Raw genomic sequence first — 26,771 nt, forward strand, 5'->3', positions numbered from 1 at the left:
CAGATTAGAGACGGGAGCTACGAAGGGTGGTGGGGCCGGGAAGAGAGTTGGGGAGAGGGTTGGGAGAGGGTGATGAGAGCGCGCTGGAGAGGTAACTACAAACACACAACATTTTGTTCAAGGGCCATGTGAGTTTCTAGAGCTTATTTGTAGTGCTTTGTTCAGGCTTCGGCCCAGCGTTTATTGCTGCAACAAGTTGTGTGCTTCTTGAGTTTCTAGGCGTTCCCAATGTTAGATTGCTCAAAGCAAATCTTCTTAGTTACAGTGAAAGAAGCCCCCCCCCCTTTTTTTTTGAGATTTGAAAAAATTTTGCTATGAACTATGGTATTGGTGTGTATGTGTGTGCCTCTGGGTCTGTGTGTGTAGCTAGTGGATATTGGCTGGAATGGGTAGGAGACAAATTTTATAGAATCAATTTTGACGTAAAATTGTTTTATAGTATAATATAGTACAACAGTTTTCCAGGACTGTTTGAGGGCAGAAACCACCAGAAAATTAGACATTGCTATAAATAAATGAATCAGACTATGTAACACAATTGAAAAACCCTTTTACAGTCTGTCCCAGGAAACACACCACACACACCAGCGTTTGGGGTTTGAACTGAGGAGCCCTGGCATTGAAGTGTTCTGTGCTTTCACTCTCTGTGTGAGGATCGTTTAGAGGTGGTAGAATTAAATGTAATGTGTCAGACATTTGTTAAGTGACCTTTCCTAGATTGGAATCGAGACTCGCCAAAGGATTGGCTGACCTAGGGAGGGAGCTATGGGGGATTGAATGATGTGTGTTTTTTGAATGGGGTATTCCAAGCAAAACTGTTTTGGGAGGAGGCTGACATTTCCAGGCATTCATGGTTTGTGCCTGTGGGACACTGGTGGGAGGATTCCCAAAGTCGGACTGAAGGTTAGCATTACTGTGGTGATAATTTAGGAGACATTCTGTTGTAGTAGTCTGGCTGCAGACAGGGCTGGGAAGTGGCCCAGAGCTGCCTCTTTGACAAGCTGAGGGTCCGCCATTAAACCACCCCTTTGGCCATTTATTTTGAGATGAACCAAGTTTGAAAGCCTCTTAACCTTAGAAGGCTAATTAGGAGCTTGCTGTGGGGGAAAAAAATATCTCCTGCCCACTAAGTGGTAATGGAAAAGAGCTGTATAAGCTACTGCTGAGGGTTTGTCTTTTTCGTGGGGGATGTGGTCAAATTTTCAGGCCAGGCTGAAAAGCACTGGGAGTTGTCCTCAGGAGCCATTATGATGTGAAGTTGAAATGGGATGGTGTCCAACTGTCAAGCTGTTTGTCATTAGAACTAACACACTGCCTGGCAAAACGTTGTGCTAGGGCAGCTAACAGAGGGAGACTTTTTGTTGTTGTTGTCTTACCATTTTGGACTTTTCACTTATGCTGTGAATTGTTTTATAAAATACAACACGATTGAATTCCTCTCAAGTACTCATTGTTCTATACATTAACAAAATGTAAAGCATCTGAACATTGCTGCTACTGGAGATGTGGACAGATAGCAGAATCCTAAGTGGCTGGTCTCTGGTCTCTGGCCTCTGGCCGTTCTGGTGGATGCCTGATTGTGTGATAAGGCTGGCAACAGGCTGTATCCCCTTCCCAGGATGAATCATCACTTTGTCAAGCCTGGAGTTAAAGACTAACTTACCCTGATTGCTGCACAGTTATGCAAAGCAAGGAGGAACGTCTGACATCATGGGGAAGAAGAGGGAGTGAGGTGAGTGGGTGGTGTTTGGCTAAGAAGGGATCTTCAGCATGTAGCATCCATGTTTTTAGCATTTGTCCTCCTTTGGGTAAGATTGTCTTCTACCTCCCTTCTACTGTTTTCAATAGCTGAACATTTGGATTTTAATTAAATAGCCTAACAATAATTATAGCTATCATTTAGTATGTGTTCATTACATGCCAAGAATTTTACATACATTACTATATTCATCATCACAACAACTTGATAAAGTGGGTGTTATCTTCATTTTCCAGTGGAAACTGAGGCCTGGAGGAGTTAAGTAACTTGCCCCTTACACCGTACAGATGCTCCTAGATTTACAATGGGGTTATGTCCTGATAAACCCATCATAAGTTGAAAATATTGTAAGTTGAAAATGCATTTAATACACTTAATCTACCGAACCTTAAATGTGTCCAGAACAGTCACATTAGCCTACAGTTGGGCAAAATCGTCTGGTAACACAGTCCACTGTAGAGTATTGGTTGTTCATCCTTGTGATGGTGTAGCTGACTGGGAGCTGCGGCTCGCTGCCACTGCCCAGCATTGTGATGGGGTATCGTACTACATGTGGCTAGCCCCAGAAAACATCACAATTCAAAATTCTAAGTATGATTTCCACTGAATGCCTATCATTTTTGCACCATTATAGAGTAAAAAAATCCTAAGTTGAACCATTGTAAATTGAGGACCCTCTGTGCTTGTGTAGCTAACTACTAAGTGGTGGAAGTGCGATTGGGGATCCCAAAGTCCATACTCTTTAGGTATATACTGTATGGTATGATGTATTTTAATAATAACAACAGTTTGATTATCTAGTTGGTTAGCCCCTGGCAGATGTCAAATTACTTTCACGTCTATTATTGTAGTTGATTCTTCCAAAAACCACTGTGAGATAGGTTTGGAAGCCCAGGTTAGGACATTACAACTCTTAGAACTGTATTGCTAAAGAGCTGTATGTTATGGCCTGTATGAATAAGCTGTAAGTGAATGAAACTTTACTTTTAAAAAGTTAGGTTGCCAACATTTAAAAATAAGTTCTTTTTTCGAAACATTTAAAAGTGGTAGAACAGAGTAGATCTTATATTGCACTCAAGGCTTTTATGTTTATTGAAATCCATTTTAAGCCCTTTTTATCTTACAGCCTTTAATAGAACATTGCACTTTGCTTCTTAACTGAGACCCGATGCCAGAGTGTCTTTTTAAGAAGAGAAATAAGGAGGGAAGGAATGTGCTTATAAAGAGGAAGTGGGACATCAGAATTGGAAACACTCGCAGCAGCAGGCCATAGATTTTTCCCAGCACATGCTTTTTGTCCTGGCAGTAGCCTTTTACAGAAGGCATTCTTCCTTAGGGAAGTGTCAAGGGTCTTTCTTTACAGTATCCTCTGAGATCATCAAATTTCTGAGCTCTGTGGGAACACTCATTCCACATGATTTTTGTGCTCATCCCTTCCCCACAGGGGAAGTGAACTAGTTTAGGCATCTGCATGAAAAGGGAATAGCAGTGGTATCTGTCCTTAGGGTGGCACTGAGAGTGGCACTGGGCAAGAGGTACCAGACTTTGACACCAAGTACAGGAGCAGACTGGAGTTTAACACTTGGCATCATGGATTGTTTGTGGATTCCTCAGAATGCTCCTGGGCAAATGGAAAAGTCAATATTAGGTTTTTGTTGTTGTTGTTGTTTCTAAGATAAGAATTTGAAGACTGGAAGTTCTGCCTTGTTTATTTATTTCAAGCTAGGACACCATTTGGGGTCTTCAAGTTCTGTGGTATAGGTGAGAGTAACTTTAGTCTCCTCAGGCTATGAAATTCTCCTCCACTGGCTATTTTAGACTTTTGCCTCTGGAGGAGAGGCAGACACATGGTTTGCTAAACTCTAACAGGTGAGCACCTTCCAACTTACCATAAGCAGCATAGAGGAGGAAAAAGGATGCTTCCCAGCATTACACTCTTACAGCCTTTGGTAGGTCTTTGCAGTTGTCAGCCTCTTCCTCATCAGTTCATATTTTATTAAGCACACAGGTCATGCAAGACAATGCATTAGACCCATTTTAAAAGGAAGAAAGGAAATCCATTGTGCTTTCAGGGTCGTTGTAGCAGGGCAGGTGGATGCATCCCAAGAGTGGATGTTGGTGAAATGAAGAAAATGGCTATGACAGCTGTAGTGACCAAGACCAGGGGAACACTTGCTTTTGAGACAAAAGCTGAGAACAAACAGAAGCAAGAGAGTGGAAGAAAACTGAACACAGGTGCCAGCTTCTCTGACTTAGGTTTTATTTCCTCCAATCTCCAATGATGTGAAAGCGTTCAGGTTCAGAACCCTGACTGAGGTCCAAAAAATGATATATAAACTACCATTCTATGCGAGAAGGTTTGAATAGCAGTGTCTTCCCTGGTGCATGGCAGGTCCTTGGTACCTCCGCCAACTCTCTTCTCTACACACCTGCCAGCATCCCTTCCTCATCCTGTGTTCAATGTGGCTGTCAACTAAGGCTGTTAATAGACTTCAGGCATATTTGCATTTTAAAAGGCTCTTGTGGACAAGACATGCCAAATCTCCAAAGAATGAGTCATTCACATTGAGTTATATGATATTATTCATGCTACTGTTTATTAAGTATTGGGTGCTTGCTTTGTGCTAGGCCTCATGCTGGGTACTTTCTGTAGGTTGATTTCCTTCTCATCACTATCCCTTAGTAGGAGGTATTTGTAGATGAGGGAATTGAGTCACTAGCCCAGAGGTCAAGCCTCAAAGACCCCTTTGCTTTCCAGAACAACGAAGTGCCACCAGGTAGAGTGTACTGTGAAGCTTTGAATGAGTACTGTGGAGCTTTGGGCAAAAACTTTGATTCTTTGGGTGAGTACTTTGATGCTTTGGTCACTTTTAAGGAGTTCTTTTTAAGGAGTTAGAGGGAGAGCCCAGCTGTTGTCCCTCTCCTTCCTGGCTTGTTTCCTTTGTCACCTGAAGTCAGGATTCCTGTAGGTGTCCTTGGCTGGTCCAAAGCTAGGAGAATTGGTTGAACTGCTTCTCAGTTTATCCTTTTCTGGGTGTTTTGGCTTCCCAGTCCTGCGTCATTCTCCTTCCCCAGCTGAGGGAGACAAGATTCAGCCTGCTAGTGAGAGACTGAATAGCCAGTCCCTTTTCTTACCCCCTTGCTGGCCATGCCTTTATCTTCAGGAATAGATTGTCATCTGGGAGTTTCAGGGCGTTTGTCTGATCTCTGGTCTCCAGTCTGCCTGCGAGCAGCATGCCACAGGGCATCCAGTCCTGGAGCTCGCTCAGATCTTTGATGTGTGAGAATAAGCGGTGTGGATGCCATTGCAGAGCTGGGTTTTGGGAAGAGAGTTGGGGTGAAATTTGTACTCTTCCAAGATAGGCAGTTTTATAAATAGCAGAAAAGTAAAAATTGACATTCTTCTTTTGCTTATCAGATAAGCACCTGATAAGTTTCTGAAAATGCAAGGGGCCTGTCTTTCCTTGATAGCTTAAGAGAGGCTTAAGAGGAAACCAAATCTCTGCCTTCCGGGGACTTTCAGTCCAATTCTTCCTGGACTCAAGATGCTTTAAGATTGCACAGATGGCTTAAGTTCGCTGTGTTAAAATGAAAATATAGTAATGTATTTCAGAATTGTACATTACAGGTTTTTAAATTTGTTTAAAAAAAGAATGCAATATCTTTAAAGACTTTTTAGAAAATTGAATTGAAAGGACAGTGGAACAGATTATTAGTTATCGACATTATAATACATTTACACGTCATTTGCCTACTTAATTTTCACTGGTTACATGAAAGCATTTTCACATTGCAACCACAACAAAAAGCTCCCCCAAAATACACAAAGAATCTTAATTGCAAGATTCCTGCTGGTCCCACTTAACATTTTCCAGTGTACACCTTCTCTCTCCATCATTGCTGCTTTGCTTTACATTTTATATTAGATCCTGAATTGCTATTTGTGATGTTCAGATTGCAAATATACTAGCTTCCTAACTGATCATTTTTTCCCTTAAAAGTACTTCAGAGTGATTGGTCACTGTTTTATTCATTTTAGACCCACAGTCTAAATGCTTTAAGGAAAAGCTTAATTTTCATAGACATTGGGCCTATGCCAATTTGCATGGCTTGTTATTTTTGTGATCCTCATATTATCTGCTTCTAGTCATAATCGGTAGATCACAGTTTTGAGCTACCCCTGATATAGTGAGCCATCTATGAAAAAGTTCTCGCTTGCCTGAAATTTTCAAAGTGTTGAGAGCTATTCATAAAAATGTATGAACTGCCACGTTGGTCAGGTTCAGGGCTTATTTGCCGTAGTACTCTGCAGGTATTCTGTGACATTCAGGAAGGAAAATAGAGTTAGACTCCTGATGTCAGCTTTGTAAAGGTTCATAGATGTCTCTTGAGTATCTGTAATTACATGATCTCTTAAAAACCTCTTATCCATGTACTGAAATTCATCTTGAATTGTTTATTTTTATCCTGCATTCACACAATTCACACTTTAAAGATAGAACTTGATTATATTGGTATTTTTATTTCAAATTTTCAATTTTTGGAATGGCAGAATGTTGCTATTGAAAAGTGTCTTAAAGGTCACCACTGTAACCCCTTCATTGTGCTTGAGACCTGCTCAGCTCCTAAATTTAACAGGGGACGGATCTGAGAAACTGACTCCAAGTTGTAACCTCTTGCTTAGTTTTCTTTCTAGGGAGATATCCGTCTCTCCAAACCTGTCGAAATCTAAATTTATTACCTCTTACCTAATACTTGGTCCCCTGTGGACTTCACTTCACTGTTTGTGCTAATAGCCTTTTCATCACCATCTTGACTTTGGATTCTAGAGCATCACCTACTTCCCCATTTTCTGTGACCCTTACATTCCTCCTGTCAGTCACTATGTCTGATTTATTGTTCTCCCCTATCTTTTGCCCTTTGCAAATCCTCAAGCCCTCATTCTGGTTCAGACCTTTAAAAGGCTGAGTTACTGGAGTATAGTGTTACCCAAAGTGAGTTGTTCCATAAAAAATTAGTAAGTTGGAAAAAAAAACAAAAAACAAAAAAATACCCTACCCATAAAGTTGGTAAATGTTCCTGTAAAAAGGGTTCCTTGGCCAGGTACATGTTAGAATAGCTGGTTAAGTTTCTTTGCAGAAAGACTTCTCCTGGCCTTCATTTGTGACTGTGTACTGTGAATTCCCAAGAGAAAGATACAGTATTCACTTGTCCCAACTTATGTCACCATTGTACCACGTTTTGGGGGGATCATTTCGTAGATAACACTGCTATAGTCACTTCACTGTAGCTTTTTAGGTTCTGTCACTGCCTGGCTTCCTGTGGGAATGTGCATTCCATGTGAGCCGTACTTGGTTCACTCTCAACTGTGTCTTGTGCTTTTACCTTGTTGTTCTGGATCGTTCCTTCCCCCCAGAAGCCCCTCTCCCCTATCACACTGGCACATCTTTCAGTGCCCAGCTTTGTGCCTGTCTTCTCTGTCAGTTTTCCCAGACTCAGGTTGCGCTTGTTCTTCTGAACTTAACTGTTTCACAACTTAAAAAAAAAAAAGAAAATATTTGAAGCACAATGAAATGTTGAAAGTAACCTTACACATTCATATGGTTAAATTATTGGAATTCCCACAAAATTCCATTTTCCATATTTGCGTCAGTTGACACATCACATGCACATCACATTCTCCTCTGTTTCCCCCCACAGGTTAGCTTGCACATATGTTCAACAAGCTTGTTGCTTGTGGGGCTTTTTTCTTTAATTTTGTGTTACTGAAATTGTGTTGCATTTAAATAGAAATTCAGGGAGAATTGACATCTTTATGGTTTAATGGCTTCCCATCCACAAACCTCATAAGCTTCTTTAATAGTTCTTTTATGTCCTTCAATGAAATTTTTATCATTTTGTATGTAAAACTCTTTCATACCGCTTGTTAGATTTGTGCCAAGGTGCTTCATGGTTTCTGTGGTCATTTTGAATGAATGATTTAGTACATTTCTGGTTAGTGTTGCTGGTGTACAAGAAAGGGATTGATTTTGTATTTGTTTATAAATAGTTCTTGATTGATCAAGTTCACATCTAAACCTGTGTTTGCTGTGGGAGCCTGCAGTTGGGTGGCTTTTCCAATACAGCATAAAATAACTTAGCCTTTATTGAAAATGTCATAATTCACTTTATTTTTATTTATTTATTTATTTTTTGAGACAGAGTTTCGCTCTTGCTGCCCAGGCTGGAGTGCAGTGGCATAATCTTGGCTCACTGCAACCTCCACCTCCCAGGTTCAAGCAATTCTCCTGCCTCAGCCTCCCGAGTAGCTGGGATTACAGGCATGCAACCACCACGCCTGGCTAATTTTGTATTTTTGGCAGAGATGGGGTTTCTCCATGTTGAGACTGATCTCGAACTCCTGACCTCAGGTGATCCACCCACCTTGGCCTCCCAAAGTGCTAGGATTACAGGCGTGAGCCACCGCGCCCGGCCTCTTTTTTTTTTTTAGAGACAAGTCTGGCTCTGTTGCATAGGCTGGAATGCAATGGCATGATCGTAGCTCGGTGCAGCCTCATACTCCTGGACTCAAATGAGCCTCCCACCTCAGCTTCCCAAGTAACTAGGACTATTGGTGTGCGCCTCCATGCCCAACTAATTTTTAAATTTTTTGTAGAGGTGATGTCTCATTGGTCCCAGGCTCCTGGCCTCAATCAGTTCTCCTGCCTTGGTTTCCCAAGTGCTGGGATTACAGGTGTAAGTCACCACACCTGACCTAATTTAAAAATTATATGCAGTACTTTTAGAAGTAAGGAAGGGGTGACTTTTAGTTATTTAATGTGTTCATTTATTAACTCATCAAATGTTTAGGTGCCTAGTATGTTTCAGGCACCGTACTAGGTACTGTGTTTTTGTTTTTGTTTTTGTTTTAGAGACAGGGTCTCTCTTTGTTGCTCAGGCCGGAGTACAGTGGTGTGAACATAGCTCACTGCAGGATCGAACTCCTGGGCACAAGTGATCCTCCTGTCTCCACCTCCCAAGCAGCTAGGACTACAGGCAGCATCTCCACACCCCACTCATTTTTTACATTTTTTTGTGGAGACGGGGTCTTTCTATGTTGCCCAGGCTGGTCTTGAACTCCTGGCCTCAAGTGATCCTCCCTCCTCAGCCTCTTGAAGTGTTAGGATTACAGGTATGAGGCACTACACCCATCCTGTACTGAATCTTTAATGTTGAACAAAACAGATGTGGTTTCTGCTCTCATGAATGTGAAGGGGAAGAGACATTGTGGAAATGGACACGGATAAATATGTATTCGTGGATTAGCATCGATACTGTGAAGGAAAAGGACAGGGGGCTGTGAGAAACAGAAAGGCGGAGAGAGGGAAATTTAGATTGGGGTACAAGGAGAGCCTGACTTAGGAAATAAACATTCACACAGCTGCCTGAAGGATGAGTTGGTGTTAAAGAATGAGGAGGATGGAAGAACTTTGTAGGCAATAAAAAGAGGCTCAGAAGCCCCAAGGTGGGACTCTACTCTGAATGACACAAAGATGGGAATTTTAGTGACTGATGACTTAAATCAAGTTATTAATTCTTAGTAAATTATCATAATAGTGGTATTTAACAGTGTTTTACACACTATTATGACAAAGTGAAGGTATTTATTTTTTATCAGTATATCCTCATCCTGCCAAGTGAAGCTGGCTAGATTCAGAGAGCTGCCTCTATGGTGAGGCTTGAATGGGGCCACTGCCCACACCCCTACCCCCTCTGCATTTTGAGTATTGCCACTGCTGCTGCCATTGGGTCCTGGCATCTGCTGGACACGAGCGTCCTGCTCAGCAATTTTCTCCTGAGCTCTGCACTAATAGACGGGGTCCTTTAAGGTCAGGTCAGGTCAGGTCGGAAGAAGACTGCTCTGCCCTTCCTGGGAGGGGTGGTGAGCAGGGCCTTCTATGTTTTTTCCAGTGTCTCAGCCTTCTCCACTCTCCCTCCTTCACTGTCTCTTAAACACACACTGAGGGCTCAGGCATGACAATGGGATGGGATCCAAACTGAGTTACACACCTGCCTAGAATCTGTGCTCTGTTTGGTCATTGAAGCATTGCTCTGGGGCAGGCATGACTGAGCTTAGTTGAGATAAGTCCTCTGTATAGTGAAAAGCTATGTGGTGCAGTGGTTATGGGCTGGGCTCTGGAGACAATACTGGTTTTTGAAACTTGACTCTTCTCCTTAGTAGCCCCCGGACCCTGGGCTTGTAGCTTAAACGGTCTGCCTCCATTTTCTCATCTGCGCAATGTGGGTAATTTTGCAGAGCTGCCTTCTTTGGGTTATAGTAAGGATTAAATGAATCAACACATGTGCAGCTCCTAGAACAGTGTCAGGCACAGAGCAAGCACTTGGTGTAGATGTTAGTTACTACTATTCAGCCTTTCCTGCAATGCTTTCCTGGGGTTCCTCCTCCCCCACACCAGATATTTAAATCTGTTTGAATCCTAGCAGTGCACATAATTTAGGATTTCATACGAGGGACCCCTTTGGAAAATATGGGGAGAAAGATGGCAAAAAAAGAAACCAAAATGTTAAGTGATTGTGTTACGATAATAGATTGGGGTGACTTTTACTTTTAACTCTCTATTTTCTAAATCTTCTATAACCTGGTTATGTTACCTCTGTACTAATAATATAATAAAATTATTTGAAGAAAGAAAAGTCAGGCTGGCGGTCTCCAGTTGGTTTGCTAAAAAGGGACAGGAGAGAGTGAGAAGCCAGGGGTAGGCCTGCTCTAGTGGCATTCACAGGTGAAGTACCTTCCCATTTGTGCTTATAGTTGCAGAAACTAGGTAACGGTGTTGAATAGTCTTTAGCAGAAGTATCCCCAAAAGTTAGAAGATGGGGCTATTCCTTGTGAATCCCCCTTTTCTGTGAATTTTTTTTTTAATCTGTCATTATTTTCCCTTTTTGTTTGTTCTGTGCTCCCTTAGTGGTCCTCTTGCCATATGTCTCTCATTCAGTCCCCTCTTCCTCCCCCTTCCCCTTGAAAGTCTCTCCTTTTAATCCATCTTCTTTACCTACTGTCATGCAGAAATTATGCACCCATTTATTCAATTCAAAATAAAGCATCAGTTTTATTTTTATTGTCAAAATAAGTAAATATAACTTTTCACTCTCAGAAATCTAAATGAAGTTGCCCTTTACTTACTTACACCTAAATTAATTGATTAGTTAATTTATTTGCTGACAAATTAATGAACTCTGGGGGTCTGTGACCTCCTAAAAGCACCAGGAATCTTGGAAGATTGGGTGGCTGCAAGGAAGGGAAGATTGAGGGGATGTTGAAGTTAAATTTTTCCTCTTTGCCTATTTTGCATAGGGTTATCTGTGTTGCTGCCATTTTGGTATATGTCAGAATTTTTGAACTTTTCCAACAGAATTCTGGAAAATTACCAAAATACATTTTTACAAAGAAACCATGCCAAATCTGACAAATTTCTTCAAAAGCCCATTGATTTTAATCACTGAAAAGTTCAGCGAACTTTCCAGCTTTTCTTTCATGCTGCTCTTTTTATGTAATTGTGGGTGGAGAAATGGACTTTCCTGCAAAGTGTGTTTATCTACAGGAATTTATTCTTGGCAGTGGCATTTTATAAGTATCTTAAAAATAATGCTGACATAGATTTGAAAGAAGGTAGTGGGTTACAGTAATGTTACCTGCTATCAGCTGAAGAGCTGTTTACATGAGGAATATTGCTAATTTAATGATGCTACACAATTGAGTGTAAAATCTAGTGGAGGACATTTAAATAAACGGAAGTAAGGTGATGCCTTTCTGTACCTTATTCCACAATTTAGGTATTTTATCTTCAATGACAAATGCCTAATTTGAACATATCATAAATATTTATGATAGTTCTTTTTCTGCTTTAAGGAAGTCTGGGACAATTACAGTAAAATCTAGTTTTATAAAATGTGTATACCTAGACTTAGCATTGGTTTTTTCAAAAGAAGACATCATAGGAATTTTTTAAATTAGAACCAATATATGTATCGCTTAATGATGGGTATACATTCTGTGAAGTGTGTCATCGGGCAATTTTGTCATTGCGCAAACACCACAAAGTGGACTTAACACAAACTTAGATGGGACAGACAACCGTATACAGGTACAGCCAACACAAGTATAGCCAATTGCTCCTAGTCTACAAACCTGTACAGACGTGTTACCATACTGAATATTGTAGGCAATTATAACACAGTAGTATTTGTGTATCTAAACAAAGAGAAGGAATAGTAAAGATATGGTATAAAAGATAAAAAATGTTACACCTCTCTAGGGCACTTATGAATAGAGCTTGCAAGACCAGAAGTTGCTCTGGGGGAGTCAGTGAGTGATGGGTGAATGTGAGGGCCTAGGACGTTACTGTACACTGCTGTAGACTTTATAAACACTGTACACTTAGGCTACCCTAAATTTATAAAAACACAAAGTAATTGCATCATGACGTCACTAGTCGATAGGAATTTTTCAACTGCATTTTAAACTTATGGGACCTCCATTATATGTGTGGTCTGTTGTTGACAGAAACAGATGTGGTGTGTGACTATATCCCCTTTTTGAGTAGGGCAGCGGTTATAGCTGCTTATTTGCTTTTGTCACAGAGCTACATGATGTTGGCATGACCTTGTATCTCCACTTCATACACACTAATACTGTGGAGGAGGATCAAGTCGTTGGGTTTAGCCTAGGCATGCCAAGGGTATGGCATGAGCATGGAACACATAATGCTAGAACTGCCAGCCCAGTCTTAATACTTAGCACTGGTTGCCAGTTTAAAAAACAATACAAAGGTATAGGTAAAATGTTAAAGGAAACTTGTACTAATTTATGTCCTTTGAAGTGACCTTTTTGTGTCTCATGGACCCTGGGCTGTAGTACCTGACTATCTTCTGCAACTCGGATGGAGAAAATGCCCCTTCCTTACCTGGCAGGCAGTGAGCCAGGCTGGACATTAGATACATAGTCGACTTCACCTACTCTGTGATTTAGCTTCCAGCTTTACCGTTTGCTGTCTTGGCAGCAGCTTGTGCATGGTGAACTTTTCTGACTAGAACAGTTAATAACCCCCACAGATGTTGGGAGCCCAGTTTTGCAGCTGTTGATATGTCCAGTTGGATTTCTTGAAAGAATTAATCAATTTTGAAGATCTCATGCCGTGGGCTGCAAGCATAATAGGATTTAGGGGGAAACTTTATTTTATGGGAGTTTGAGTTGGTATTGCAACAGATGTAGCAGGAGGTTGAACAGCAGCTGAAGGGATGCAGGAAAATGGAGTTTAAAAAGATGTTTGTGGGCCTACCACTCTAAAAGTGTCAACTGTGGTCATTTCTGAATATTCTTTTCCAGGCTTTTTATGTGAATGTTTTAAAATGTGATCATAATCATAGAGTACATACATTTTCTATATTGCTACATAGTATTTGAAATAAATTTTATAGTTGTGTATTATTCCATTGAGTACCATCATTTTCTGCAGCATCCCTTTATTTTTGGGCATTTGTATTCCTTCTGCCACTTTGCTGTTGTGAATAATACTGTGATGAGCCTTTTTGTACCTATAACCTTTTCTATATTTTGAATGATTTTCTGACAGTAGATATTGAGAACGAGGTGATTGGGTCAAAGATTGCTGTGAACTCTTTGATGTAATCAGGTAATGGATGGAGTGACTTGGTTGGTGGGGCAGAAAGAGTTGGAGTCTGGGATAACTCCCTAGTTTCTGGCTTGTGTGATGTTGGGAATGGTTTGCATAGACAGGGCCACAAGTGAGGGGTTCATTTTGGGATGTGGGGCATTCAGGCAGTGAGGGAGCTTCAGGGACTGTTGAAATGCAAGGTCCGGAGCTTAGGGAAAAGCCAGGGCCTGGGGTTCAGATGAGGGGATCATGGGCAGCTACGTGTGGTGGAAGCTGTGGATAATGTTAGGATTGCTTAGAGGGTAGAGTGAGAAGAGGAAGGCGGAGGATAGAACTCTGGGAACATCATTCTGTGACAAGTAGAGAATGGAGAAGCACTAAGGAAAATAAGGAGTGTCCGGAGGTGGGATGTGGACAGCCAGGGTTTCCTTTCTTTTCAAGAGCTTACTTTGGTTAAAATAAGATTGAGTGGGTAGCTATCCCTGTAGAGCCTGGGGGCAGATTTATTTTGGAGGGTATAATATTACTTTTTTCCCAGATAGGCTTTTTTTTTTTTTGAATTAAAGCTATATAGAAGTTAAGGTTATTCTATTTGGTGCTGAGTGGGGAGCCTTATATGCATGGTACTGGGGTCAGGATTGACTTGTATGTATGTGTTATTTAAACTGTTTTGGTTGTTTTGGGCTTCTGGTGTGTATATGTTTACATAACATTGGTTGTTTTGGGGTTTCTGGTGTATATGTCTTTACACAGTGTTTTAGTAGTCTATTGAAATATATCAATATCATTTTTACACAAAAGAACATATTTTTTTTGAAGAGAGTGAATGTCAGATTTCTAAAAGTATGTCAATCATGAATGGATTTACCATTTAGCTACTTACAATAGAAGCACCCAGATTTTTCTGGGAGCCTTTGCTTTTTTCAAGAGAGTGATATTCCTTTTCAGAGAAACATTTGTCTGTGTTGACAATTTTAAAGAAGTATGTAATTTTAAATTATGAAACTCAAATTTAGTTTTTAATAGTAATTTCTGTGTTTATTCTTTCTATCTTTAAGAGCCAAGTTATAGAATGACATGTGACCTTGTACTCTTGACTCTATGTCTGGTTGTGGATTTGAAGTGTTATTTTTGTGCTTTCCTAAATGACTTAAGCACTTATGACTATATATTTGGATCAGAATAAATATGGTAGTTGGATATACTTTTGAAAAGCCAACCAGATTTTTAACCTGGTAATACCATAGTACTATTCATTCTTATGATTGTCCAGACTCACAGCTTTAGAAAACAGTCTAAGCTTTTATTGACTTCCAGACTTGCTGGATTTGTTGGTGTTCTCTTTTTCTCTGTAAAGTGGATCAGCCGATGCCATAGATACACTAATGCTCCAAGCTAGAGGGCTACCCTGTAGTGTGCTCTTGAGTTTCTTTTCCCACCAGTTGAGAAGAATGCTTCTCCAGACCTGACTGTGTTAATTCCCAGACCTGCGTGTGCCCGGTGTACTTATTATAGTTTAATACAATGATTTTAAACATGTGTGCCAAAAGAATTGTTGTTTCTATGAAAATTCATTTGAATTCTTTGGAAATCACCTGATAAGAATGAATTTCCATAAATGACTGCAGCTAATTTAGGAGTGGCTGAGATAAGTAAAAAATTTGGGGGATCATAAAATAAAAGTATCCTCACTGATATTATCAGTCATTCATGATTGGTGGGTTAAGTTGTGATTATGTAAAACTCGATAATCGTACTGGCTCAAAGCAGTAACCCATGTTCACACTGTGTGTCCGTTGTGGATCAGATGGGGACTCTGCTCCATTTGTCCTTAACCTTACTCCAGAACACAGTCTGATGGGGCAGTACCTTCTGGAACGTTGCTGGTCCCTGTGGCAGAGGGGACGCCTGCTGCAAAGGTCTTATTGGCTATATGCCTGAATTCAGCAAGGCGGGACGTAGAGAGGGGTATGGGGCATTTGTAAAGGGTAATGAGGTCTACCGCACTTCACTTTCCAGGGCTCTTTAGAACCTCACTGTTCTTTAAATAAATTGGACTTGGAGGATGATGCCTTGGGATGGTTTATAGAAGAAAGACCATTGAGTACAACAGTGGACATATACTCAAAGAAAAGGCTCCAGCACTATAACAAAAGATTGACAATAAATGTATATTTGTAGAGCTTCATTTAAAATGACTTGTTTAGGTATGTATCATTTTTTATGACTTCCAAATTTAACTGACTTAAAAAAAAATAAGCCAAATTGTCAATCCTTATGCATTTGGATAAGAGAACCTCTACTTTAGTCTTAAACGCTCCTGTCTCTCTTCCACCTCTGTCAAATTAGTTTCCCACCTTTTATGATAGACTCATCTGTGATTTCCCTTGGCACATCTCCTTTTCATTTCCATTAGCATTATCCTAATTCTTGTTCCTCAACTACTAGATTGGGGCCCCAGATGAATTCCTTGATATACTGTCTTGTATAGGGCCTGTATGCAGTGAGAAAAAGGCACTCTTTGGGGCAGACACAATCCCACAGGAGCTCAACTTTATTTTAGTCACCTTATTCTGCCGCCCCCCCTCCTCCCCAGCTGGCCCACTTTTATGCAGTACACAAACTGAACAACTGCACAGAGCAGTCCTCCTCCCTGCATTTAGTCGCTTTGCCAACAAATTCAGACTGCCCATCCTCTGCTTAAGCCTCCTTTAAATTTGTTGTCTCTATTGTGCTCAAAATCATTTTGGTGGCTCCCTGTCATCTGTATGTAGTGGCTGACCTCAGTTTTATCTTCCATGGGACCATCACCAGTGACTCTGAGCCTTAGTTGTTGCCATCTTGATGTGTGACATAAGTAATGACTGTAGCACAGATGCGCTGGTTAGGCTATGTAATGCTTCTCTCTCCCCGCCCACCCATTCCCACCACTCTAACACCTGTGAGCTCCTTAGGTCTGACTCCTAGTCTAGCCTTGGCTTACCTTTCATCCCAGCTTCATTGTTCATCAGGCTCCTATACCGGCCGTCCTCTGCTACCATTCTGCCAGGTCACCGTCTTCTGAATATGTTTTTTATTCTTGCTTTAAACTTCTTTTCTGCTTAATCACATCCAACTCACCTTTCATGGTCGAGTTTCACCTCTTCAGCTATCCTTCTGTGATTCTCCTGCTGTATGATAGTAGCTGTACCTCTAAACAGAAATGTTCATCTCTATATTCCTCCTTTTGAGGTGAATCGCCTGCCCTATATGAACATATTATACTGGTTATCTTACTCTTAAGTATTCTTTCCTCAGTTAGATTGCACATGCATGAGAAGCAGTAGATGTGTCTCTCATTCTTTCTTCTTTCATTGCCTGCTAAGTACTGTTTGTATACCAGTAGCATGGGTCAGAGTGGGAGGTTGTCAACAGAAGAGTCCAGCATGTATCCATGATGGACTCTCGATCAACTTTATATGATTAACTCATATAAAACAGCCCTGTATGGAAGCTGAGGCTGCCTCTTCCTAGCCACAGGATATTGACCTACTTTCCCCTTCTTATCTGCTTGCAAAATATTTGTTGTACTTAGTGTGTTCTCCCTGTCACAACGAATGTTTGTCTCTCTCTTTCATATGAACTGAAGGCTAAAGTGCTAGTTAAATCAGTGGAAAAAGCAATGGAGAAGAAAAGTTGGTAAGCAGTTTTAATTTCTAAACCAGAGGGGCCTTATAATTTTGTCATTTAAAAAGAACTCTAGTTTTTCTACCCACCTATTGAGAGACAGACGTAAGGGTAGAAATGTAAATTTTAAGTTTTGATGATTTATAATATAATAATGTATTTTGAAAGCCCCTTTTTTGATAAACTACTTGTAGAAGGAAGTTAACTTTTCTTAATCGGGTTTCTACAAGGTAGTTCACTATTGTATGTTTTATTTCTTACCAAAACTTTTCTTGGGAAAATTTGTTTTATTGCTCCATACGTGGTCAAGGTAATTAACTTTAAAAATGGATTTTCCTATAGCTTTACAGGTTATTAACATGTGCTGTATTCAAGGAGAAAAAACTGTGTGTGGGGGTGTTGTCAGTATGTCTCCTTATATAAATATATGAAGTAACTGCTGTATCCTGTAGAATATTTGGAAATTAGCAGAACTATTCAAATTTAGTTAACATTTATAAATGTGAATTTTATAAACAAAAATTTCAGTAAACATTTTATTTGTGACTTAAAAATGATTAGTTATGGCATGTCTTATAGGTTGATTTGTTTGTAGTGTCTTTTGTTCTTCATAAATACTTCAGAATGTATTTAAGGATATGTAAGAATTATGGTGCCTTTGATTTTAAAAGGAATGCTTCCAACATTAGAAAAACCAGAAATTGACCTAGAAAATGTTTCCAAATTCTAATATAATTGTTGATTTTAATCAGTGTAGGTGAAATAACCCACTGCAGCAGTTTAGCTATTTTCTTTAAAAATTATTTCTCAATTTACATTATCAGTGTCTTTTTTGGAACATCTTAGCTATTTTTGTTTGATCAATTCTCAACTAATAAACATTCATGAAATCCTAATGTAAATGTATAAATATCTCTGCCTTTGTTTACATAGTTTATTGGACTTTATTTTAGTGGATTACTGCTTGAGGAAGCTTCTGAATTTTTATTATTCTAAAAAACTTTTTTAAACCTTGAGTATGAAGGCATTACCAAAGCTTCACTGTTGAGTGATGCATATTTTTTCCCCTCCTTTACATGTAGATTACTTAATTTGTAATCTTTAGACTTTTTTTTTTTTGCTTTCCTAACTAGGTGAATTTTTAAAAGTAGCCAGTTCCATTTTGTAGCTAACCATGTATTGTAAACACACAGAAAACATGCTCAAATGTGCCTTGATGGCCTAACTTACCTGGTTATTCTGTGCATCTTTCTGTGCTGTGTATGGTTGCACTCTTAATATATTTTATTTTGGTTATGAGATCAGAATAAAGAGAGCTGCTTTCCTTTGCCTCTGAGTAATGTCACTGAGAGAGATTCTTGTGGTCTGGCATTTGCTGGCTTTTTGGTTTTTAACATTCTCTATAACCAGATCTAGGATGCATGCTCATCCCAGAATGAGCAAACTCAGTCTTTCCAGAGTTGAGCCTTGTTTTTTTTTGTTGAATCAACAGCGTTGGAAGCTGGGACAAGATCCTAGGAGATGATGTGTTATACGCTTTGTGAGGAAACTGAGGCTTGAAGGTGGCAGTGTGCCCAGTGTCTCACTGTGAGCTAGCTGCAGAGCTGGGCCTGCAACTTGGATCTTGTGGATGTTTTTTCCAGAACCACTGCAGTAGTCGTTGTAACCTATGATCTGTTGCAGAATGCCAAAGCTGTTGTTTTCTGGAGGGATAATTTTCTTCCTTAACCTACAAACAAGAATAGTGCACTAAATTCAGTACATTTCTCTCCATTGTCACTAAAAGAGCCTGAACGATGGGAAGGCCCCTGTTTTTTTTTTTTTTTTTTTAAAGAAGGCCATTCTGCCATAGTGTATCCCAGGCTGTTTTATGTGAGTGTCTTTGTTCAGAACCAATCCGGAGTGGCCTCCAAAACTAATGGGTAGAGGAAACCCTATGTGAGTGCCTACCAGGTGCAAATCACTGTATTTTTAATTATAATGAAGGTGTACCTTGAGTGATTGCATGATCCGATCAGGCATAAAGAGAACAGAGGAATGAATCTACAAGTGGTGTAAGACTTTGTTGAGGATCTTAGCACATGGAATGAGATTGAGACCCTCTGATTAATAAGCTGATTCATTTGGAAGGGAAGTTGGTTTTCCTCTGGTGGCTATATTCAATTCAGTAATCACCAGTCTTTCTTGGCGTCTGTGCACCCACCAGGAACAAATCAGAGTCGGGTGTGCCAGTTATATTTGAACAGTTTTACGTTCACTTAGGGGTTCCGGGGTCTCAGGTTTGCCAATCTAAACACATTGACTTCTTGGAATTTTTAAAATCTGCCTCGAAGGAACGCATTGAAAAGTCCGTGCGTTATAATTAGCATGTTCCCCTGTACAGCTGAGTTTGTGTTTCTGGATGTAACAGCGGTTTATAGTTTTTGGCTGCCTCGTCCCTCAGGAATTTGTAGCCTTTTTTCAGACGTTAGCTCATTAATTCTCCAGTCATTGTGAGCTGTATAGCATGACGACCGGTTCCCCTACAGCTGGGCTGCATGCTGCCCATTCTGGACCTTCTAGGGTTGTGGCAGGTGGGGGGTCCATGTTGAGGGGGTGGAGAGGGAGGCAGGGCATGACTTTCAGACCCAGCCTTGGAGTGGGGTGTGTGCTCTCTGAAGTTGACCTGCCCTTTGGCAGCCATTCCTGCCATGACTCTGTAGAGCTTCCTCCGGGAAATGACTGTAGGGACAGTGGTGTTGGCTGCATTTCCTCCTTAGGGTGTTAAACCTCATGTAAGATCAACTGCAAATGAGGTAACTCACTAGGTTAGTTACCTGGACACACCTGCTAGGAGACAGGACAGAAGAGTAGGTAAGCTCTTCAGGGTGAGAAGAAGAAAGGGGCATTGGAGAGGGAGAAATTCATCTAATGAGTTTGCTCTCTCAGTCAGGCTACATAACAGCCCTGTGGAATAGATATTGTCATCCCTGAGTTTTTAGATTAGAAATTTGAATTCCAGAGATGAATTCCTTTGGATTCCAGCCTGGGTCTGTGGCTCCACAGCCTGTGCCGTACCACAATGGGGTGGATCGAAAGGATCCTTGGTGGTAAACTATTGCTGCAAGCCTTCTGTAATATAGAAGCAAAAACTCTTTGAAAAATGGTGCAGTGTTGTGAAGAGCTTGGTGATTTAGGAATTAGACTGAAGGGTATATGTAATAGAATAGGTGTGAAAGACCATTTTCAGACCCGTCAGAAAAGCTTCATCCTCGCCCTGGCTCTTCTAGAAACCAGCTGGCTCCACCGCCTTCTTTTTTAAAGGAAGGTTTTGCCTGGGATTCTAAGGTCTCTCTCCTTGCTCTTTAATTATAAACAAAGGCACTTAGAAATTTTGCCCTTACGTCACAAGTGAGAGTTGGTAACTGGTAATCCAAAACCTTCCATGTTGTTATAGCAGCCGCTGTTATTTTTGACTCAATTTCTTCTAATTAGTCTAGATGGTATATTTTGTCATTCTCACTTTACACAGTTGGGAAAAAACTTTTTTCCCTCTCGTCAGTTTGCAAATTGTAAGGTTCTAGATGCTGTCTTTCAGTCCTTAATCACTGGCCTGTGCCTGGGATTGAGGGTGGTTGATTAAGGGTATCTCCTTGTTGATGACTTTTATTGATGTAAGGCCAGCTTTTCTATACTCAGACAGAAACAGACCTTGATCTTGGTGGTGCCTGTCCCTCTCTGCCTATGCAGAGACAAAACCTAGGGTGTTAACCCTTAGATAACCAGAATGTTGAATTAATAGCCCCTCCCACTCACAGCTTTTTAAGGTTGGAGTCAGGTATGGCAAATGGGCTTCCATTTGCTTTTATCCATTTGTTTGTTTTCACTTCCTGTTTAAATCTATTGGATTTCTTCATTGCCTGGTAATTTCATGTCCTTTGTATTAGCCAGAATTTGAACACAAGTCAACAACATACTATATGGAAATTGCCCAGTAGTTGTGCCTATTTCTTCCATAATCCAAGATTTTAACAAAAGCCCTCCTACTAGCATTCCATTAGACATTTTCAGCAGAAAGCTTTAGAGAAAATGAGGTGAGGGGTTTCTCAATATATAGTTGGCTTTCACAGTGAATTTAAGGATTGGAAAATGAGAGAATTATAATTGGTGAGGTAAATGCCATGAATAGACACACCTTATATAAATATCTTTAAGCAAGTGTGTAGGTAGGAATGAAAATCAGCCATCACCTAAGTCTTTCCACAAATGCATGTCGGGGCACTCACTTTCTCCAATGCTTTAGGGAGCCCTGCAGGGCACCCCGTGTGGTTCTGTGTGGCCCACCAGCCCCATCACCTTTGAGAATAATGCTGCTTGAGTAAATTGTCCTATAGAATCCAGTTTTCACCCAGTTTGCGTTTTTGGTTGGTAAATACTAAGGAAGTGTCTTGTCCTTTGGTTTCTAACTTTAATCCTTCATGAGGACATTCCTGGTGTGTCATCGAGGCTCTCTGATGGTCCTTTGCCAGTTATGACCTGGAGTGGAAGGGTAGCGATGATGGAAACCGTCCTGGACAGAAGAATGGGCTGTGCCTGTCTAATATGCATTTATTTATTCATTTTCTTTCTACACACCAGAGCCCTGTGTGTCAGCCACGCTGTTAGGCATGGGGCTTGTGCACATTGAGAACTTAAACCTCCCTTCTCCAGGGGAAGAGCAGACAAACAAACTCACAATTGTGAGGGAAGGGAAGTATTTTGGCATATTGGTCTGATTGAGCTGCTGTAACAAGATACCATGGACCGGGTGGCTTAAAGAACAGACATTTATTTCTCACAGTTCTGGAGGCTGCGGAGTGGGAGATCAAGTTGTTGGTAGATTCAGTTTCTGGTGAGGGTCCTCTTCCTGGCTTGCAGATGGCTGCCTTTTTGATGTGTCTTCACACTACAGAGAAAGAGCGAACCCTGGTTTCTTTTTTTCTTATAAGGACACCAATCTCTTCATGGGGGCCTCACCCTCCTGACTGCATCTAAACCAAATTACTTTCCAAAGGACCCACCTCCAAATATCATCATACTGGGGGCTAGGGCTTCAACATAATAGATTTTGGGAGGACGCAAGCATTCAGTCCGTAAGATTTGGCTTGCTCACAGCATGTCTCCTATGAGGAATGGTTATTGACACTGGTTTAAGTTGGGGGGTATTTATGTCTGACAAGAGGCTCAGTGGAACCTCTCGAGGGCCTACAGCTAGAACCACTCTGGGCAGCAAAGGCAGCTGTTCTGTCTGCCTGCCATGGTCTGTCACCATGCTTCATTCTTCTCTTCAGATAGGCTTCCTCTGGAGGAGTCTGGGAAGGTTCACCCGCATGATAGCTGTTCCCTGGATCTCTATGAGCTCCATGCTCTGCTGCCCACAGCCACCTGACTGTGGTGTCTGTGTCCTGCTGGCAGATCTTTGGAAGCTTTGTTTGGGCTGGTGTATACCCACCACTCAGTTAGCTGTGGTCTGGCTGAAGGTGCTGTGGCAGGCCTTGGCATCTTTGTGTGTGTGTAAGTGGGGACTGTGCAGGGGAGAGATTGGACTAAGGAGAAAGGCTGTGGAATCATGTGTTCTCTGCTAAGGAATTTCTTTTTTAACTTGGTAAAATATACATAACATAAAATCTACCATTTTAACCTTTTTTAAGTGTACAGTTTAGTCACATTAAGTGCACTCCCACTGCTGTGCCGCCATCACCACTATCTCTAGAGATTTTTCATTATCCCAAACTAAAACTGTAGCCGTTAAATAGCACCTCCTCATTACTCTCTCCTCCCAGCCCCTGGTAACCACCATTCTTTTTGTCTCTATGAATTTGACTTTTCTGTGTACCTTATATAAGTGGGATCGTATATTTCTACTCTTGGGACTGGCTTATTTCACATAACTTAGTGCCCTCAAGGTTCGTTGATGTAGCATGTATCAGGATTTCCTTCCTTTTTAAGGCTGAGTAATGTTCCATTTTGTGTATGTACCATATTTTGTTTATCCATTCATCCATTGATGGACACTTGGGTTACTTATACCCTTTGGCTGTTGTGAATGATGCTGCTATGAACATGGGTGTACCAACATCTGTTTGAGTGCCTTCTTTCACTTCTTTTAGGTATATACCCAGAGGTGGAATTTCTCGGTTACGTAGGGAGTCTGTGTTTAATTTGTTGGAGGCTCTGCTAAAGAATCATAATGCTGGCTGAAAGGCACTGGAGAGTTATTGAAGGGTTTGAAGCAGGTTATGCCTAATCAGATTGTGATTTGAAAAAGTAACTTGGGTGGTGTGGGCTGGGGAAAAGGAAAGGGCTGGCAAGGCTGTGGTGGCGAGACAAGGCAGAGAGACCCCTTAGAAAGCTCTTGAGGGGAAGGGATAGAAGTGAGCTTAATCAAGGTGATACAGTCAGTGAGACAGATTGGATATGTGGGAAGGAAGGAAGAGACAGGGAGAAGCCAAGGATGAGAACCTGGATGGATCAATTGTTATTTTGTGGAATTTAGAGGGAGTAAGATTTTTCTTGTTTTGTTTTTTATATTTTGGTGTGGGATGATTGATACAAATTTTGGAAATGTGTTGAGCTGTTAGACACAGCCAAGTGGTAGAGATGATTGGTAGGCAGGCTGTCGATAATATGGGTTGCTAATTTGGGGTAAAGGAGAAGGTAAGAATAAAGGAGCAGATGGCCATGCAATTTGGCTGAATTTAAAAGTGGTGGGGGCATTATGGATGCAGCGCCACAATTTCAGCTCCTGAGGAATGATGTCACATTCCTACCTTGAGACAACATATCAAAATTTACAAAACAAGGAAAGGTGGCCAATTCATTGGTTGTAAAAAGGAGCTTTCAAAAGGATTCTAATAAGTTCAAAAGGATTTAGACCGAAGCATAAGGATGTTGAATTTGGCTTATAGTCTTTTTGCTCATCTATATTTTCTAGTTTTTTTCTATAGTGAACATGTATTACTTTTAATTATTAAAAAGTTCCTTGAAAATTTCAAAAGTGGCCTATTTTCTTGACTTTTCTATTGGACCGTGAGTTCCTAGAGGGTGATGCAGGGAGGGGGAGGTACCACGATGTTCACTGTGTTCTTAGCACTTTACACCATGCCAGCAGCACAACAGGCCTCAATACTGTAAAAGCTGGTTGAACTGAATTGAATGGAAATTTAATCTAACCCCTCTCAGAGAGATGAGATTCGGTGCTATTTTAAAAGATCTAGGAAGGAAATTCCAGTTTTTCTGACTCCCTTAGCTCATTATATTAGGTACTGAACCACATCCTACAGACTTGGCTCCTCTTTTGCCTTTGTTTTGCCATCAGGATTTGCTGAGAGTTACTGTGTTCATGAAATCTTGCCACATTGGCTCCATTTTCTTACCTAAATATGTTTCTCATGCTATTCTTAAAAGCATTAGTGATCTTGTTGGGAGCCAAGTAGCTCAATTCTGTTTCCTGCCCTTTGTTGATAATATGTTTTTGGAGGAATGGATCAAAGTGGCTTGAAGCCACTGTCATTGTTTTGCCTTCTGGTCTGCTGTGACCAAACCAAAGGATGGCAGCTGTGAGGACGTGCATTGTTGTACGACTCAGTTGTCAATCGGAAATTTGCATACTTGTTTTCCCTTTGTATATCACTGAATGGCTACCATGTGCAAGAGGCTGTGCACTGTGCTTTCAGGAAATAAAGATGAATAAGGCATGATTCTTGACACCAAAGAGCTGATTTTCTAGAAAAGGTGCTGTCATGCATACATGACCACTATACAGGGAGGTTAATGAGTGGAACTGGAGTCAGATAAAACACACTTGTTACTATGCGAAGAAGAATCCCTGTAGGTGCTGTCTCTGGTGTATATTGCTAATGCTGTTATACTGCTAATGATGTTATAATATATGTGTTTTAAATGTCCTCATTTACAATTACCAAAGCAATAGATAACTGCTTTCACTAAGTTTTCCTGCAAGTAACTCTTTTGGCTTTGTTTTAAAAGTTCCTTTAGGCTGGGTGCAGTGGCTTATGCCTGCAATCCCAGCACTTTGGAACTTCAAGGCAGAAGGATCATTTGAAACCTGGAGCTTGAGACCAGCCTGGGCAACATAGCAAGATCTTCTTTCTATTTAAATCTAAAAAAAAAAAAGAAGTTCCTTCAAATTTAAAACCATGTTAGTGATTTAATATTCTTATTAATCATTGCAACCTCAGCTCTGATTTGTGAATATTCTTTCAAATTCTACGATAAAAGTGTTTCAACGTATACATTGTTCTTATCTGTGGTACTCTGAGAACTTCAAATTCAATGGAGGAGCACGAGATAAGATGAATTTTATTTTAACTTATCATCCATCTCCTCTTAGTTATTATTTAATTATTAATTTGGAATAACTCCTTTGTAGTACCATTTTGATATTGAATAGTGGAATTACCATGCTGGATGTGCTGTTTTGTGTAGCCATCTCTGTGTGTTGGGGGGCTATGTTGGTCTTGACATTCCCAAGTGCAGATGATGTTGACATATGGTAGGTGGCTTGCAATTTAAGGTTAGTGATTGGGTAGACTCATTAAGTTTACGTGGTAGGTCACAGATGGCCATTTTCAGATGCTATAGGTTGTTTATGCTGCATTCTCTTGGATTTTGAGGAACTTTTGAAATGCTGCTGTCAGTATTTTAAACGGTATTTTAACTTTGCAAAAGATACCAGTAAATGAATTAGTGTATGTTGAAATACAGGTAGTAATTTTGGAAGTTCTTGAGATGAGAGTAGATAGGGGAAGGAACAATTGCAATAATATATTTTGTTCTTCTTGGATGGACAGAGAGCTGAAAAGAACTGGCACAGCCTGTGGAGTTGCCTGGCACCAGTTGGCAGGCTTGTGGCTGGCCTAAATTGGTACCCTTAGATAGAGAGACTGCTTTTCTGGACTAGTAGCCCAAACTGAATATACTGCCAAGTCCCAAAGTTTTGAAACTAGAACATGGTCTGATAATTTCTTTCCTGGCCTTGGTACTTTGCAGATTGCCATAGTTCTTGGTAGTAGAATCCACCTGGGGCTAGTAAGAAGCGTAAGAAGCAGTAGAGTGAGGTGGCACCTCTCCTGGGCTACATCTGCATGGCAGAAGTGCTTATTTCTTTCTCAGGCCACAGAGGCAGAGGTGGTGCTTGGGATAGGTTACATCTCTATGTCTCCCACCTCCAGGCAGAGTGAGCCCTCTGAGCAGTGCCATATGTTTTCCTCTCTGGCCTTTCAGACAGTCCAGTTTCACAGCAAGCTTATCTTTTTCTTGTAAATCCTTAAGAAATAACCAACCCATACTCTGGCATCTTGAATTTTTTTCAAATTCTCTAATGCCACAGGCATAAAGGTCCAAGTCTCAAGATACCACGGGCCATGGTTTAGTCCACTATTTCACTATTAAATAGCGAAGATGATCATCTTGTCAGTCCAAGACAGCAGGTCCTCATGCCTGTGCCTTAGATCAGCCAGTTTTTGCTTTTTGGTGTATTATTTAGAACACTTCACTTCCTGGTACCAGTCTCTTACTAGGTAAAATGCTTTTTGTTGCAAATAATAGAAAATACAACTCAAACAGCTTAGACAATAAAGAGAACTAATTGGCTTACATCACTGAAAACTTGAGAGATGGGAGCAAGCTTC

General features: G+C 40.7%; 1 protein-coding gene across 13 annotated transcripts in view, besides 2 other annotated features; it reads left to right on the top strand.

The window, feature by feature from the left end:
- MYO1B (myosin IB) overlaps positions 1-26,771 on the top strand; it is a 179,983-nt gene that overhangs the window by 873 nt on the left and 152,339 nt on the right. For 4 of the 13 annotated variants that reach the window (XM_047444410.1, XM_047444412.1, XM_024452914.2 and 1 more), the window contains exon 2: positions 1,619-1,732. The exons of 5 other annotated variants lie outside the window; for them this stretch is intronic. In XM_047444410.1, the coding sequence (XP_047300366.1) occupies positions 1,682-1,732 (51 nt within the window). In that variant the 5' untranslated portion in view covers positions 1,619-1,681. Of the gene's footprint in view, positions 1-7; positions 92-1,618; positions 1,733-17,003; positions 17,113-26,771 lie in introns of those variants that run through there. 4 more of the 13 variants (XM_005246572.2, XM_047444413.1, XM_047444415.1 and 1 more) reach the window with 3 other exon arrangements.
- Positions 1,139-1,932: an enhancer, noted in NCBI's record as "NANOG-H3K27ac-H3K4me1 hESC enhancer chr2:192112141-192112934 (GRCh37/hg19 assembly coordinates)". NCBI's record gives its function as "activates a minimal SCP1, AML or CMV promoter by ChIP-STARR-seq in naive H9 embryonic stem cells {active_cell/tissue: H9 hESC(naive)}" and the evidence as "EXISTENCE:reporter gene assay evidence [ECO:0000049][PMID:30033119]".
- Positions 9,747-10,041: a silencer, noted in NCBI's record as "tiled region #1767; K562 Repressive non-DNase unmatched - State 24:Quies". NCBI's record gives its function as "represses a minimal TATA promoter and a strong SV40 promoter by Sharpr-MPRA in K562 cells {active_cell/tissue: K562}" and the evidence as "EXISTENCE:reporter gene assay evidence [ECO:0000049][PMID:27701403]".

Source organism: Homo sapiens, chromosome 2 (assembly GCF_000001405.40).
Source record: "Homo sapiens chromosome 2, GRCh38.p14 Primary Assembly".
NCBI classification, from domain to species: domain Eukaryota; kingdom Metazoa; phylum Chordata; class Mammalia; order Primates; family Hominidae; genus Homo; species Homo sapiens.